Source organism: Homo sapiens, chromosome 7 (assembly GCF_000001405.40).
Source record: "Homo sapiens chromosome 7, GRCh38.p14 Primary Assembly".
Classification (NCBI taxonomy): Eukaryota; Metazoa; Chordata; class Mammalia; order Primates; family Hominidae; genus Homo; species Homo sapiens.
The window spans coordinates 24,682,387-24,698,354 of NC_000007.14; the positions used below are offsets into that span (position 1 = coordinate 24,682,387).

A 15,968-nucleotide genomic window follows, 5' to 3' on the forward strand; every position below is an offset into this window, starting at 1 on the left:
TCTGTGCTGCTCTTCCCCTCTGGCATTCCGTCCTGCAAACTCTTGCCACCTGGGTCTCCCTGGACTCAGCTCTGTCCTCAACTCAAGAGTCCTGTAGGCTCCTTTGGGCTCACTCTCCCCATCCTACTGCCCAGAAACTCTTTCAAGCCAGGAAGCTGGGGTAATCATAAGAGTCACTTCATTTGTTTTCTGTCTTTCTATGATCTGTTTTTAATACCTTGATGTATAGTGTCTTAAAAAGTGTTGTTTGATACATTTTGTCCATAAATTAATTGTTAGGTGGGAGAGTTAGTCTGGTGCCTGTTATTCCACCTTGGCTAAAAGCAGACATCCCTTTAAATCTGTAAATTCTCACTGCCACCCTCCCTTCCCTCTCTTTTCACATTGTACTTTAGTTGTTAAAATAATAATAATAATAATAAGTCACTTATCCTACAGCATGTTCCATAGTCTGGATTTTACCCATTCTGTCCCCATTGTATCATTTTCCTCTATCCCTTCTATTTCCTGTAAACTGATAGGTTGATCTAGAGGTTGGTCAGACACAGATTCAGGTTATTCAGGTTTTTGGTTGGTTGGTTTTTGCAAGAATAATTCATAGGTGGTACTTGTTTTATTAACATCATGAGGCATATGTCAGGCTTTTTGTCATAAGATTAATCAGTGGGGTCAGAAGTTGTTAGCCTGATCTATAAAGTTCCTCAGTAACTCTTTACCTACTGGTTTTAGCAAACTTTATTGATCTTTGCCTTGGATAAATTATATTTTTAGGGATGGCAAGGTGGTAGTATTCTAAATTTGTCATTCCTTCTACATTTATAAACTAGAATTCTTAAGAAGAACTTTTCCTCATCAAGTAGTTGATTATTCTGAGGTACGATTGATACAGGAAAGGCAGGATACATCTTTGATACTGTCCTTTGTAGGTCAGCTTTCAGAATAATGAGTTTATTCCCCAAGAGCCTCTAGAGGTAACAGGTGACCAGCTGAGATTGGCTTTGTTTTTTTAGTTTCATGAGCACGTATGTTCAAACTTATCTGGTGTGCTTTATTCTGTTGCAGTGATTATTTTTATTGATGCTAAGATTGTCCCATCATTGACCAATAGGAGCTTATTCTAGTTGGCCCTTGAGACCTTTTTTTTTTTTCATGACGCTGATAGTCTTGGATAGCTTCCTTGCTATCTGGTAGAACAAATGTTCCAGGCTCATCTTGTACATTTTCTGTTCTAGGCCAGGAATCAGCCATTTTTCCAAGATACTCTGGTTTCTTTTAGGGTAAATGGTGTTTTAAGACCATAATACTAACAGTGCCCATTGTCACATAGTTGATCACTGCTTCTTGCTAGACCTTTTTATGTGGACAGTGCTAGCATATATGCTTTTCTGTTTGTATATTTGAAGGAAAATATATCATGAATTTATTCTGATATTTTCCAATCAAATTCAAGATTACAGGATTTTTATTTAACTTATTTTATCTTATATGTCTAATTCCTTTCTCTTATGCTGAATATCCCTTCTCATAACACTGGAAATGTTAGAATTAGAATATCAAATAATTGCTCATTTGCTTTATTCTACAGTACAAACACAACATTCTGGGAATAAGTATATCAACATAACCACCACTAGTATCATTACTGTGAACAGTCCCCCCAACTGCCCACCTAGGTCTTTCTGTCTTTAGAGTATATCCCACTAAGTAGATACAGTCAGATCACTATGGGGTTTTTTTGTTTTTTTTTTCTGTCGCCAGGCTGGAGTGCAGTGGTGCAGTCTCGACTCACTGCAACCTCTGCCTCCCAGGTTCAAGCGATTCTCCTGCCTCAGCCTCCCAAGTAGCTGGGACTACAGGCATGCGCCACCACACCCAGCTAACTTTTGTATTTTTAGTAGAGATGGCGTTTCACCATGTTGGCCAGGGAGATCACTATGTTTTAAAGTCACTTGAAGTACCTCCTTTCTGTGTATTTAGGTCAGTTATTCTTTTTTAATGTTTAAATTGTTGTGTCTTCAGCAGTAGGAGCCTATTCAACTTGGCTTCTGAGTCTTTTTAACATGATTCTAGTAATGTCTGATAATTCCTTGCTTTCTGATATGACAAGATGTTCCAGATTATTCTACATTTCCTGGCCCAGACCTGGAACCAGCCATCCAGAAGCCCTTGTTTCTTTTAGTGGGAGATAGCATTTAAAGATAATTCAGTCAGTAAGGGTGTACATTAAACTTAGTTGGACATTGTTTTTAGACCTTTTCAGTAACCAGAAGTAGGAAATAAATTTTTTGTTTTTAGAAAACATACATCATTAGTTCAATTTGATAGCTTCAAATGAAATTTTACATTATTCTTCTTGGGCTTTATATTTGCCTTTTTTTCCTCTTATCCTGAAAACCTTGGTTCCTGATGATAACATCATTTCTTAACTTACATGTATATAAATATAAATAAACTAAGCACATATGTAATTTGAGTTATATCTGTATTAACAATATGATTATTGAAAAGTTTTAAGTTCCAGGCTTTTATTGTTCTTAGGATATATCCCACTAGATTTTTTTTTTCCTTCAACTTTTGTTTTAAGTTCCGGGGTGCATGTACAGGATGTGCGGGTTTGTTACATAGGTGAATGTGTGCCGTGGTGGTTTGCCGCACAGATCAACCCATCATCTAGGTATTTAGCCCAACATCCATTAGCTATTCTTCCTGATGCTCTCTCTTCCTCGTGCTCCCACCCTGACAGGCCCCAATGTGTGTTAATCCCACCATGTGTTCTTATTGTACACCTCCCACTTATAACCCACTAGATATTATCTTCTTTTAAAGCCACTGAAATAATTCCTTGCTGTGTGGTTAAACCACCAACTTGAAACACAGGTTTATTTGTTTTATTTTGCTTCTGATTTTTAAGAATGGCTGTAATTTGAATTTAAATTTTGTTGTATAATTCTATACAACATTTTCATTGCTCCAACATAAATCTTAAAACGAATCCAGCTTTTCTGTGCCCTCTCCACTTTGTTTCCTCCCACCCACATAGGCTGCCATTATTGGTAGCCATTTTACCATGTTAGTTTCCAGTATAAGCAAGTGTGCCTGTGTCTCCTCCTCCCCCCCATTTTATACATAAATCATACCTTATGTACAAAATGTGCCTGCATTTTTCCAATACCAGTATATCCTAGAGACCACTCTATAGCCAGAGAGAGAATCTTTATTCCTGTTCCATCTGTATGGCATACTCCGTTATTGTTAACAGGGTTTTTTTTTTTTTTTTTTTTTAACAAATCAGATTGCTAATAGGCAAGAATTGCTTTCAAGTTGAAATGTGGCCTGTTTACATATCTGTGATCAAAGATATTTTAGCTGTTTCAAACTCATTTAGAAGTCTCAGTATCAGCTGAAATGTAAGTATTAGGGTCCTTCAGGCCTGGCAGTGAATCCACTTCTCTCTCTACACTTTCTACACAAATGACATTGTTGAGTGCTTCCATCAACATCATTTACATTCATGCCATTGTTATGCTAATGATTTATATACAGCTAGCCCAGACCTCAGAGCTCTGATTTGCATAACCAGTCGCCTGCTGTACATCTCCACTTGGATGTCTCACAGACATCTTAAGCTTACCATATTACAAAGTAGCACACTTTGTTTCCCCCAGAAATTATGCTCTCCCTACCCCTCAACTCTGTATCTCCCACAGCCACCCATTTACCTAAGTTAGAAACCTAAGAGCAATTCTTGACTCATTCATTTTCCTCCCTTTTCAAATCCTGGATGATGTAAAAAGCTAATCCTGATTATTTTATCACCAAAATAAATTTACAGTCTGGTGTCATTTTCATCTCCTCTGTCACCATCATAACCTAGGCAACCCTTCTCTCTGACCTGGATTCCTGCCATCAGTCTCCCTGCTTCCACTCATGTCATGCCACATTTTCACTCAAGGCCCACAGAGGTCTTTCCATCTCGTAGGGGTCCTCCATGACTTACCTTGTTTCCCAACCCTTCACCCATTCTGGTCTTCTTTCAGTATCTTGAACGTGCCAGGGTCGTTTCCTTCCTCTGGATTTTGCCCTGCTGTTTCCTCTGCCTGAATGCTGACCTCCTTATTTTCATTTAGTTCTCAGCTTAACTGTAATTTACTACTCAGTCTTTTTCCAATCACTTTATCTAAAGTAGATCTCTTAAAATTCTTTGTGCCTGTTTTGTTTCTTTCATGGTAGTTATCACAACTTGGTATTTCTTATGTTTATTTCCACTTTATCTCCTCCACTAAAGGATAGGAACCCTCTCTCTTATTCATTGTCATACCCACTGATTCTGAAACATAGTAGACACCTTAATAGGAACTCAATAAATATTTGTAGAATATGTAGAGGTATAGTGAAATTCAAAACACCATCTTACGAAAAGCTTTACTTATGTAGAACCCATTGCTTATGTACTCCCCACATCATTCCAAAATGACTAAAATTACTTTATGAAATATAAACAGTGCCTGGACAAAAACATAAATAAAAGTATGTGAGTATGTGTTTTGGTGGAGGATGGGCAGCATGTAAGGTTAATCTTCAAAAAACACTTCTAAGATTCTCTGATCTTATAGAGAGGTAGCAAGTTTGGCTTTGAGCTTAACAGCCACTGCAAATTGGGTACCATGTTGTACATGGGCCATGAGATAAAAATCTTTCGAAAAGGATGATATAGTGGAGCTGGAAACCAGTCACCTGCAGTAATTGTTTTGTTACTGTAGATTCATTCCAAGATTATTTTCAGCAGTCTTTTAATTAGGAATTTTATCCTAATATAAGTGAGGCAAAAGATGCAGAATACTCATAAATGTAAACATGAGTGTTGTTGGAAAGAATAAGACATGAACAGATGGCAGTGTTGTCTTTAACACTATATGGATTAGATTTTGAAGATTAATACCAGAATTACCAGAAATATATCTAACCTATTTATTATATTCACTTCTAGTTGGAGTTTGAGCAAGTAAATATGCATTGTAATACAAACATTTCCTTTTAAAACTCTTCAACAGGACTCTGACTTGAAGAAAACAGTGGATGAAAGTGCACGGATTCAGAGAGCATACAACCACTATTTTGATTTGATCATCATAAATGATAATCTAGACAAAGCCTTTGAAAAACTGCAAACTGCCATAGAGAAACTGAGAATGGAACCACAGTGGGTCCCAATCAGCTGGGTTTACTGATGATTCAGTAAGGTTAACAATGAAAATTAAACTCTTAAAAAGTGACTGCAACAAATAAACCTTCTACTGAGAAAATACATCACAGATAGAAGATTATCTGCTAAGTCCAGGCATTTTTATGGTGTAGATTGAAATAATAGTACACTTCTGAATTTTTATATAAAATGTGGTTGGAAGGTGTACTAATATATAATTTATCTTAATTTTTCTAACTTTGTATGGATAATCTTTCTATTCATATCACATAAAGAAATGCGTTGAAGCATTTTGTATATGTTTTGATTTAGTACCCTTGCCTTTTTCATCAAAGGAATTTTCAAATCATTCACTCTAACATTGGTCTCATATTTTCACTGTGATAATGAATATTACTTGAAATAGTTTTGTAAAGCTGTCATTTAGTTCAGTATTCAAATAGTGAAGGGTTAGTCTTAATAGAAGAAAATATAGTTATTGACCTTCCTTCTTATAAATTTCTTACAAAAGCAGAATTTTAAGTCAGTGTTATAGCTAGTCTACTACCATCTAAATCTGACATCAAAAGTCTGATCAGTTTACGTATTTTCATTATTTCGGAGATGTATGGCTATCCATTCTAATTTATACAGCTATATTAGTTTTGTCTCTTCATTTCTATCTTTACTGAAAAATTGAAGAGCAATACCTTGCACTCTCTTTTGAGGTTATTCTTTTTATTTGTTGCAGTGATATGATGCTAACTAATTTAACATGTACACAGTAAGCTCTGGGGCTGGAAGCAAGGTCATGCAGACTGAGAGAGTGCCTTATCCTGTAAAACCTTACAGCAAAATGACACTTGAAGAAAGTTTATTTTCACATGTAAAATTTTGACTGACAAAAGGAACCTACTACTTTAAACAATGGTTTTATTAGAACATGGTCAGCAAATGTATCATGCCTCTGCAAATTTTAGTGATGTTTAGAGATGCCTCTAAGTTTGCAGTTGGAGGTTTTTGTGCTTTTAGAAATGTGATGTGATCCTTAGGGTACCTGTTTTGTCTGTTGTGTTGAGAACCAAACCCATTGAACAACTTAAAAAATTGGGAAATAATTGTCAGCTATTTTGTATACATACACACAAAATATATACATTATATAATATGTATATTATGTATTATATAATATATATAAAATGTTTTGTATATTTTTTACATATCTGTTAAAAAATGTACTTTGTTTTTTTGTTTGTTTGTTTTGAGATGGAGTCTCTCTCTGTCACCCATGCTGGAGTACAGTGGCGCGATCTCAGCCCGCTGCAACCTCTGCCTCCTGGGTTCATGCGACTCTCGTGCCTCAGCCTCCCAAGTAATTGAGATTACAGTTGGGTGCCACCATGTCCGGCTAATTTTTGTATTTTTAGTACAGATGGGGTTTCACCATGTTGGCCAGGGTGGTCTCGAGCTCCTGACCTCAAGTGATCCACCCACCTTGGCCTCCCAAAGTGCTGAGATTACAAGCATGAGCCACTGCACCTAGCCAAGAAGTGTACTTTTTGTTTAATGATTACCGAAAGAAGTTCTCCTTTAGAAGCATTGACTTATACAAATTCCCACATTCACCTCAGTTAATATCTTCCTTTAGGATTCTTGGATAATAGAAATTCTTCCTAAAACATACTCAGAGATGCAGCTCATTATTAAATTAAGGTAACCACATTCTGTATTGTTGCTAGCTTTTCATGTAAACATTATTCACACTTTAAAGGATTAGGTGTTTAAATATTGATGGTCATCTTTGTCTGGTGTTAGGTGCCAGACACCTGGCTGCTGAATTTGTTTTTTCCCTCACCAAAGTTGTCATTTGGAACGCCAGCTGGGAGGACTTTGAAGGAAAAGAAAATATATGACAATAGGCAGTATTGACACATTGTTTAAAATCTTTTTCACAATAAAACAAAACACCCAAGTTGTCATATTGTTAAAGTTGGAAATCTATAGGTTTTTCTTTTTTTTTTTTTTTTTCTTTTTTTGATTCTAGATTTCATGGCCAGAACACAAATTCACGTTTCTTGTCCTAGGACAGGGAATTGGTGACAAAATGGATTATACTATTTTAATAACAGTGGAAACTTTCAAACTACATGTGTTTACACCAAATTCTTGGCTTCTCAAAGCAACATGAATTAAAGCACAGTATCAAGGTGATGCCCTATGACAATGTTTCAACACACACTTGAAATTTTAAGAGAAATTTCAGTTCTTCACTCAGGAAATGTGCTGTATTCTCTAATGTACTTTCATGCTGCAGCATGGAGCCTCTTTAAACAGCTTTGGGATAATTATAGCAGCACAAGAAGTTTATCTGCAAAATATTTCAATCATCTTGGTACAATAGATGACTTTTACATCATGTATATTAGCCTTATGTGATATAAAATGTATTACTTAGAAAATATACTTAAAGGAATTATTTCTATTATAAATGGTATTCATGATTGACTACTTAATTAATGCACATTAGATTTCTCCTAATATAAAATGAAATGATGCAGTTTAGTTCATTTCAGTCTAGATGCCCGTACTAACAAGAATACAGTTAGATAAGTTCATTGTATCTCAATGAAGAATCATTGAACTTGAAACCCAAGTCCCAAATGAATCTGCAGGAATGAGCAGTGCTCTGCGGGGGCAAACAGCCCCAGAGGTCCCAGGGTTCTTCCTAGGTAATGAGAGTATAGCTGTGATCAAGGAAATGTGAACTTCTCTTTTGGGAAGATCTGCGATAATTAGCTTTATGGAAGCGAAAATGGTTTAGAGTGGTGTTGAGCAATTGTTAAGAGTTGAAATAGACACACACATGCATGTGCTTTTGGGAAACATGATGTGCCAACGTATTAATGTGCCTGAGGGCTCCTTGTGGATAGGTCAGTGTCCACATTTCAGCACTCAGGGCATGACTGTACACAACCTAAGACTATATATATATTTTTTCATTTTCAAATGTACAAATACCCATAGAGGTGATGTGCCTGGATAAGTCATTTAACCATAGCTTAGTGAAATAAATGTGATGGCCCTAAAAAGTAGAATTTTCACTTTCATTACAGCCATGCCTTTATTATGCAGTCTCCATTTCTGTGTGATATTTGGTAATATCACATGTCAAATACATCAGGACTTTGTTTATTTTGGCTAACTCTAACTATACAATTGCTGAACATAGCTTTCTGAAATAGAAATTATAAGAGAAACCCAGTATGCCTACAGCATTAGTAGCCTAAATCCTAGATTCTAGAATCCAATAAATTTATAGTAGTTCTTAAGAAGTTTCCTTTAAAGCAACAAATAGATTATTAAGGCAAATTTAGATAATAACCCAAGTTAGCAATAAAACCATGTGACATTATAGATTATGTCCAGATACTAACTGCTTTGACCATAATATCCCAATGACAATAAAAAATGATCCTTGGTTTAAAAATTATTAAATGGTACTTATTTTTATGTATAACAAGTGTCATGATCCCAGTGACTGGAGTTGATTTTCAAGGTGGATAGCCATAGAGTTAGGTAAAATTATTTTGAATTGGCAAACTAAAGATAACAATTTTGAAAATTGCTCAAAATAATAATCTACTTAAATTTTACTTTTGTAACTTCTGAAACAGTACTCCATTATCCAGAAATCACAGGCTAGAGAGCCAATAATTTTGTAGTAATGAACCTTAACTAAACATGAAAAAGGCAATCCTGAAGTTTTATGTACATAGATAGCAGTTCATTTTTTAAATGTTCGAGTTGCCATATATTATGTATGTGTGTGTGTGTGTGTATATATATATATATATATATATATATATATATATATATACAGCTATGTGTATAATATGTAAAATTCTCCCAAAATGTATGAATATAAAACTGAATGTATTCATTCATGTAATTATAACTAGCATTCTAAAATTTTTAATTACTCCCATTTCTTTGACATTCTGAAACTTTTTTTAGATTGTTTTAAAACGCTCTGGTTCCACCTTGAAGCTGATAATCTTTCTGAAAAATATATGAGAAACTCAGAAAGTAGTCATTATTATAATAAATTTAATTTTCTTAGGGAAAAAGGGCAGGGTTCTGGATGGAAACCCCTTTGGAAATTCTTATTTAAACTTTTGAATGAATCTTTAATATGATTCAGGCTGAGATTATGATACCTGCCCTTGTCTTATTTCAAGAGGTTTGCTGTGAGAATTCATGTAATAACATCTGTAATGTATTTGGAATTTTTGGGAGAAATTCATTCTTTTAAATAATGGGATTATTGTATATAGTACAAATGAATACTCACAAAATTTAAGAATACATTTGACTAATAATTGAGCATCTTGTCAGTTTTTATGCAAGCATATATTGTATACCTGAGGAAGATGACAGTTCTATAATTTTTTTAAGGTAAGGTTATTTTTAAATTGCATTTTTGTTCTAACGTTTTGCAATTTATATTCTTTTTAAAATATTTCCCATAATTCATCATGCTAGCTTCTGTGTTCTTGGAATAGTTTTTGAAAAATGCAGAGATTCGAACATGAGTCCTTAATATACTAAACAGTGAAAGAATGATGATATCTCATTTCTAAAGTAAGCATGGTTCACACCACTTTGGCAATACACTGCAGTACTTTTTAAAAAATATTCTCTAGTGATAAAAGTAAAGACAGGGTACTGGCCAAGATCCTAATTCTGACTTCTGACTGTGTGATCTTCGATGAAATTTATATTTCCCTTTATCATTACTATTCTACTTGTTAAGTAAGGCTAAGTTAATATTTGTCTTCGCCTTAAATTCTGATTTGTAATTTGTAACTCTGATGTGGTAGCTGTGATATGGTGAACTGAAAAATCCTTATTAGGCTACTTTATCTGTTCTCTTTTAGTTATTTTAAAGTGTACCTGTTTCTGAAGTAATGTAGTGAATGGTGAATACTTTTCAGGAATTCTTCCAGTTTTAAAATAGCCCCAAAGATACAGTTTCAGCTGGTGGAAGGTCTGTTCTGCTCTCTTAGTCCTAATCAGAAAGTCCCTTTTATCTTATAATCCCATACTAAATCCAAACCCTTAGCAAATCCTTGCTGCCAACCAGACCACTCACAAATCAAACAAAATGTAAGCAAGCAATCCAGTACTCGGTTACACCAGAAGACTCTGATCTTTGCCCCCGAAAACTGTCCTACTTTATCCTTATACCTGAAATCACTGCATACCTGAAATCACTGCAGCCCTACTGTTTTACCCATACCATTAATTTAAAAAGGCATCTATTTCTTTATAGAAAGAAACATTCACAGTGAGGTCTTAGTTTGTGAACCTCAAAATCCAGATATTAATCCACTTTAGTTATTACTTTGTAATTGCTTCTCAGTCATTGGCTGATAATGCAATGGTGTGATAAATTTGACTTATCTCCACATACAAAAGTCGATCAGAAGGGATAGTTCTCTTCCTTTTTTTCCCCTCCTACTGGCTCTTACTGTTTTCTAATCTCCAGTGTAAATGGAATGAACACATCTATAGTTAAGGTAAATGCCACCAATCAGAAGATTGAGTGATTTACTGCTTGTAAAGCAACTGTCTTTGAATCTTATGAAATAGGTGGTGTTGCTACCACAGAAGCCAAAAAGGTCTTAAAATTGGAAATAGATGTCTTTATTGTACTTCAGCCAACAGCAAGCCAGGGGAAGGAACATACATAAATATGACAGGTCATATATGAAATTTGGCTCTCCTCCTATCAAAGTAGCCTAGGAGCTTGGAGGAAGCCTAATTAACTAAAACAGGAAAAAAGCATACTCATCTGATGTAAAAACTCATCAGCTGTAAATTACCAACATTAAACCAGAAGTCATTACCAGTTAAAATGTGTGGTTTTCATCTTATTCTTAAATAGGAGAGGTGGACAGTAGTGTAAGTAACATTGCTTTAAAGACATAAAGCTTGTCCTGGTAAACATGGTCTAAATGAGAAATGCCTCCATCTTTTCAGGTAGAACCAGATTTCAGGCATAGCTCAGCTACATCTGTATTTGAAATACAATAAAAATATTTCTTATGTCTCTGTATTCTCTTTTAAAAAGAACTGCTGACTGGCTCCTGTCTCTTCAGTAACACTGATTTTTTTTTAAAGAAGTGATATGTTGGACTCTGTTGTAGAAGAATGAGCACTAGTATTCAGCAACAAGTGCAATTTCTCCATGTTATGTTGAGCTCTGTTGGAGCCTATGGTGAGTATTTGATGTGAAAACCTTGCTGTGGGAATTTTTTATTCTTCCTTTTCCCCCCACGCCAGTTCGTTTTGGTAAGTCTTTTATTTGAACACAAGACGCATGCTTTTTTAAACCTCTAGTTTTTGAAGTAACTGTAGAAGAGAATCTTTAAAAAAAAAAATGGAGGGCAGAATGCTTGTTAGCAATCTGAAAATCAAAGCTGAACAAGCTGCTTAAAGTTTCTGATTAAGAAGTTTAAAAAGAAAAATTAATTGCTACTGCTTTCCAGGTAATTGTATTATTAGTTTCTGTATAAAAGAAACATTATTGCTGTTGTATAAATAAAATTTTCCTGTGGTACAATTAAGTATTGATTTTTCAGAAACTGTCCCTATAAATCTTTTCACATATTTCCATGTGCTGTCCAAAACAAAAATTATTGAAATGTCTAATCTGTGAGATTATATACTCCTGGTAAAATATTTTTGTATATATAAAGAAATATTTACTATTGGAAAAAAGTGTTTCATTTATAGGTAGAACTAAGGTTTAGAGATAATAATGGAGGATATCTGATTAGCGTTGATAATTTTTTTTAACTGTTTGCATTTTTTAACTTTTAGGTTTGGGGGCACATGTGAAGGTTTTGTTACATAGGTAAACACGTGTCACAGGGGTTTATTGTACATATTATTTCATCATCCAGATACTGAACCTGGTACCCAATAGTTATCTCTTCTGCTCCTCCCCCTCCTCCCACCCCCCACTCCAGTAGACCCCAGTGTCTGTTGTTTCCTTCTTTGTGTTTATAAGATACTATCATTTAGCTCCCACTTAGAAGTGAGAACATGCAGTATTTGGTTTTCTGTTCCTGTGTTAATTTGTTAAGGATAATGGCCTCCATCTCCATCCATATTCCTGCAAAAGACATGATCTCATTCTTTTTTATGGCTGCATGGTATTCCATGGTGTATGTATATATCTCATATTTTCTTTATCCAATCTGTCATTGATGGGCATTTAGGTTGATTTGTGTCTGCTATTGTGAATAGTGCTGCAGTGAACATTTGCATGCATGTCTTTATGGTAGGAAGATTTATATTCCTCTGGGTATATAACCAGTAATGGGATTGCTGGGTCAAATGGTCGTTCTGCTTTTAGCTCTTTGAGGAATCTCCGTACTGCTTTCCACAATAGTTGAACTAATATACACTCCCACCAACAAGGTATGAGTGTTCCCATTTCTCTACAACCATGCCAGCATCTGATAGTTTTTGACTTTTTAATAATAGCCATTCTGACTGGTGTGAGATGGTATCTCATTGTGGTTTTGATTTGTATTCCTCTAATGATCAGCGATATTGAGCTATTCTACATGTGGTTGTTGGCCACACACACGTCTTCTTTTGAGAAGTATCTGTTCATGTCCTTTGCCCACTTTTTAAGGCGGCGGGGGTGGGGGGGGTTTCTCTTGTAAATTTAAGGTCCTTATAGATGCTAGATATTAGACTTTTGTCAGATGCATAGTTTGCAAATATTTTTTCCCATTCTGTAGGCTGTTTACTCTGTTTATAGTTTCTTTTGCTGTGGAGAAGCTCTTAAGTTTAATTAGATCTCACTTGTCAATGTTTGCTTTTGTTGCCATTGCTTTTGGTGTGTCTTTGTCATGAAATCTTTACCTGTTCCTGTGTCCCAGATGGTATTGCCAAGGTTGTCTTCCAGGGTTTTTATAGTTTTGGGTTTTACATATAAGTCTTTAATCCATCCTGAGTTGATTTTTGTATATGGTGTAAGGAAGCGGTCCAGCTTCAGTCTTCTGCAGGTAATTTCTTTTAAGTGATAACAGTCTTTGTAAAAAGCCCCTAAAGTCATTTAGTGTTTCCCACCTAAATAAATAAATTGATCACTTGCCTCTACAACAGAAGCCCTAATCATTGTTTTCTCTATCCCAGTCCGATTTGGTGGTTTTCAAAGACACACTCAAGGAAAGAATTTCAGTGTTGGGGAAGGTTAAAATATAGGACCAAGAAAACAAGGCTTCTGTGCTGAGATGGCATGGAATACTCTTGACCATTTCCCAGCTAGCCAGGAATGAAAGAAATCCTGGTGAGAAAGAGAATGAACCGACCCATTCTGGCACACAGCTCAGCACTGCAGCCTGCAGTGAGAGAGGACTTGGGCCCACCAGGCTGACGAGAGACAGAGGTGTGGCACTGGGTGCATGCAGGAAGCCTCCTTCCAGACAGGGCCCTTTGCAACTCTTGCCCAAGCTAATTTCCAGGATTGCCTACCTCATACTTAAGAAATTGCTAGTACAGTGTATCTCTGATGTCTCCAGAGGAATTAGATGTTATCTTCTTCATTCTTCCATCTTATACTACCTTAGTTTTCTATCACAACCACAAATTTACCAGCTTAAGAGAACACAAATTTATTACCTCTTCTGTAGGTCTGAAGTCCAACACAAATATCACCAAGCTAAAATCAGGGTGTCGGCCGGGGCCTGTTGGGGTTCTTACCTGGAGATCTGAGGAAGAACCCGTGTCAGGCTTGTGCAGGTTGTTGGCTGACTTCATTTCCATGCAGCTATAGGACTGTGGTCCTTGTTTCCTTGCTGGCTGTCAGAGGGACTGCTCTCTCCTCTTGCTCTAGTCCCTTCCATCTTCAGAGCCAGCAGCAGCACGTAGATTCTTTCTTTTTTTCTTTTTTTTTCGAGACGGAGTTTTGCTCTTGTTGCCCAGGCTGGAGGGCAATGGCGCGATCTCGGCTCACTGCAACCTCTGCCTCCCCGGTTCAAGTGATTCTCCTACCTTAGCCTCCTGAGTAGCTGGGATTACAGGCATGCGCCACGACACCCAGCTAATTTTTTTTTTTTTTTTTTTTTTTGTATTTTTAGTAGAGACGGTGTTTCACTGTGTTGGCCAGGATGGTCTCAATCTCTTGACCTCGTGGTCCGCCCACCTTAGCCTCCCAGAGTGCTGGGATTACAGGCGTGATTACAGGCCACCGCGCCCGGCCAGCACATAGATTCTTTCTACTGGCCTCACCTTTCCTACGTTTTCTTGAGCCAAGTCTCCTTCACTGCCTCTTCTGCCTTCTTTCCTTTAAGGGCCCACCGACATAATCCAGGATAATGTGTCCATGTCAGGTCCATAACTTTAAAAGCATTTGCCAAGTCCCTTTCTGTCATGTAAAATAACATACAGGTTCCAGGGACTAGGTCTTGGACATCTGTGAGGAGTCATTAATGGACCAACAACACTAGCTATGTCAGTGGTACTCCTTTCATCCATTTATGAAAGAGAAGTGGTCCTCTTATGAATGGAAATATCAGAATTAAGGGGGCTGTCTTGTGCTATTCTAGGAAGTATTCCTTTTATTTACTGTTTTCCAGATGACCTGAGCTAATAGACTTGTTTGCAAATCTAATTATGAAAAACAAGTATGGTTCTTGATGTCAATAGAGGCACTTTTTAAAAAAGATTTAATGAGAAAGTTGGAGATACTATCTAGTTAGAAACCTCCAAAGATGATATCTCCAACTTCCTCATTAAATCTTTTTCAAACCTTTGGAGGCCCAATTCCACCTCACTGCAAGCACACCTAGCCTTGCTGCACCCGCATCTCTACAGGTGTCTGCTAAGATGCCTGGCAGTAACCTCAGGCTGGGAACAACTGTAGTAGCATAAAGCTACCTCCTTTTTAATAGCTAGTTCTTAAAACACAATCCAGCATGTCAACTGGCTGGTCTTAGAACAATTGTGAAACAGCTAGATTCCTGACTGTTTGATGTAACCCAGACTTTCGGCGCTTGCTGGGATGGCTTCTTTCAATCTGAAGTCTTTCATTTTGTCTGTTTTTTAATTTGGAGGATAAGACATACAGAATTCTAGCAGGAATAGAAAGCTAAAAAATCTTCCTCTGCCTCTTGTCTCAACCTCTAAGTTTCTTTCTCCCCAAAGGAGCCACCATTAGATTTCGTGTGAACTCTTTAAATGAAATTTTCCATTAATATTGATAACATGTATACATCTATCTATCTTTTTACACAAGTAGATTCATATTATACCTTCTGTTTGCAGTTTGTTCTTTTTACTTATTTCAGAAAACCAGACAAAAGGCAGGTATAGTGCCACCATTTTAGCACAACTGCTTTCACTTTTGCATATTCCTTTCCAGTTTGTATGTAAGGCTTATTTCTGTATAGCTGCTGCCACCATGTGCCATTTTATAGCCTCTCCCCCAACATATAAGCATTTCCATAAAGAGTCTCATTTTTAGTAGTGATGAAAGGGTTATTTGCTTTATTCTTCCTTGTTAACCTTCATTAAAATCTGAAGGGAAGAAAGGGAATAAGTGGATGATGTTGCAGGGAAAAAAGAATAGGTGCTGTATGATATGTTTCCAACAACTGCTACCCCTCATCCCCAGTGGCTCAGATCCTGTCTATGGAATCAGGGACACAGGGAGCCAGTCCAAGCTATTTATAGAAGGACATCAAAACAGAATAAAAAGCAAAATAGA

General features: G+C 36.4%; 1 protein-coding gene across 9 annotated transcripts in view, besides 1 other annotated feature; it reads left to right on the top strand.

The window, feature by feature from the left end:
- Nucleotides 1-11,807, top strand: part of PALS2 (protein associated with LIN7 2, MAGUK p55 family member) — a 120,742-nt gene extending 108,935 nt beyond the window's left edge. For all 9 annotated transcript variants that reach the window (NM_016447.4, XM_011515425.3, NM_001303037.2 and 6 more), the window contains one exon: nucleotides 5,052-11,807. In NM_016447.4, coding sequence (NP_057531.2) covers nucleotides 5,052-5,228 — 177 coding nt within the window. In that variant the 3' untranslated portion in view covers nucleotides 5,229-11,807. The remainder of the gene's footprint in view (nucleotides 1-5,051) is intronic.
- Nucleotides 3,218-3,814: an enhancer, noted in NCBI's record as "OCT4-NANOG hESC enhancer chr7:24725223-24725819 (GRCh37/hg19 assembly coordinates)". NCBI's record gives its function as "activates a minimal SCP1, AML or CMV promoter by ChIP-STARR-seq in naive H9 embryonic stem cells {active_cell/tissue: H9 hESC(naive)}" and the evidence as "EXISTENCE:reporter gene assay evidence [ECO:0000049][PMID:30033119]".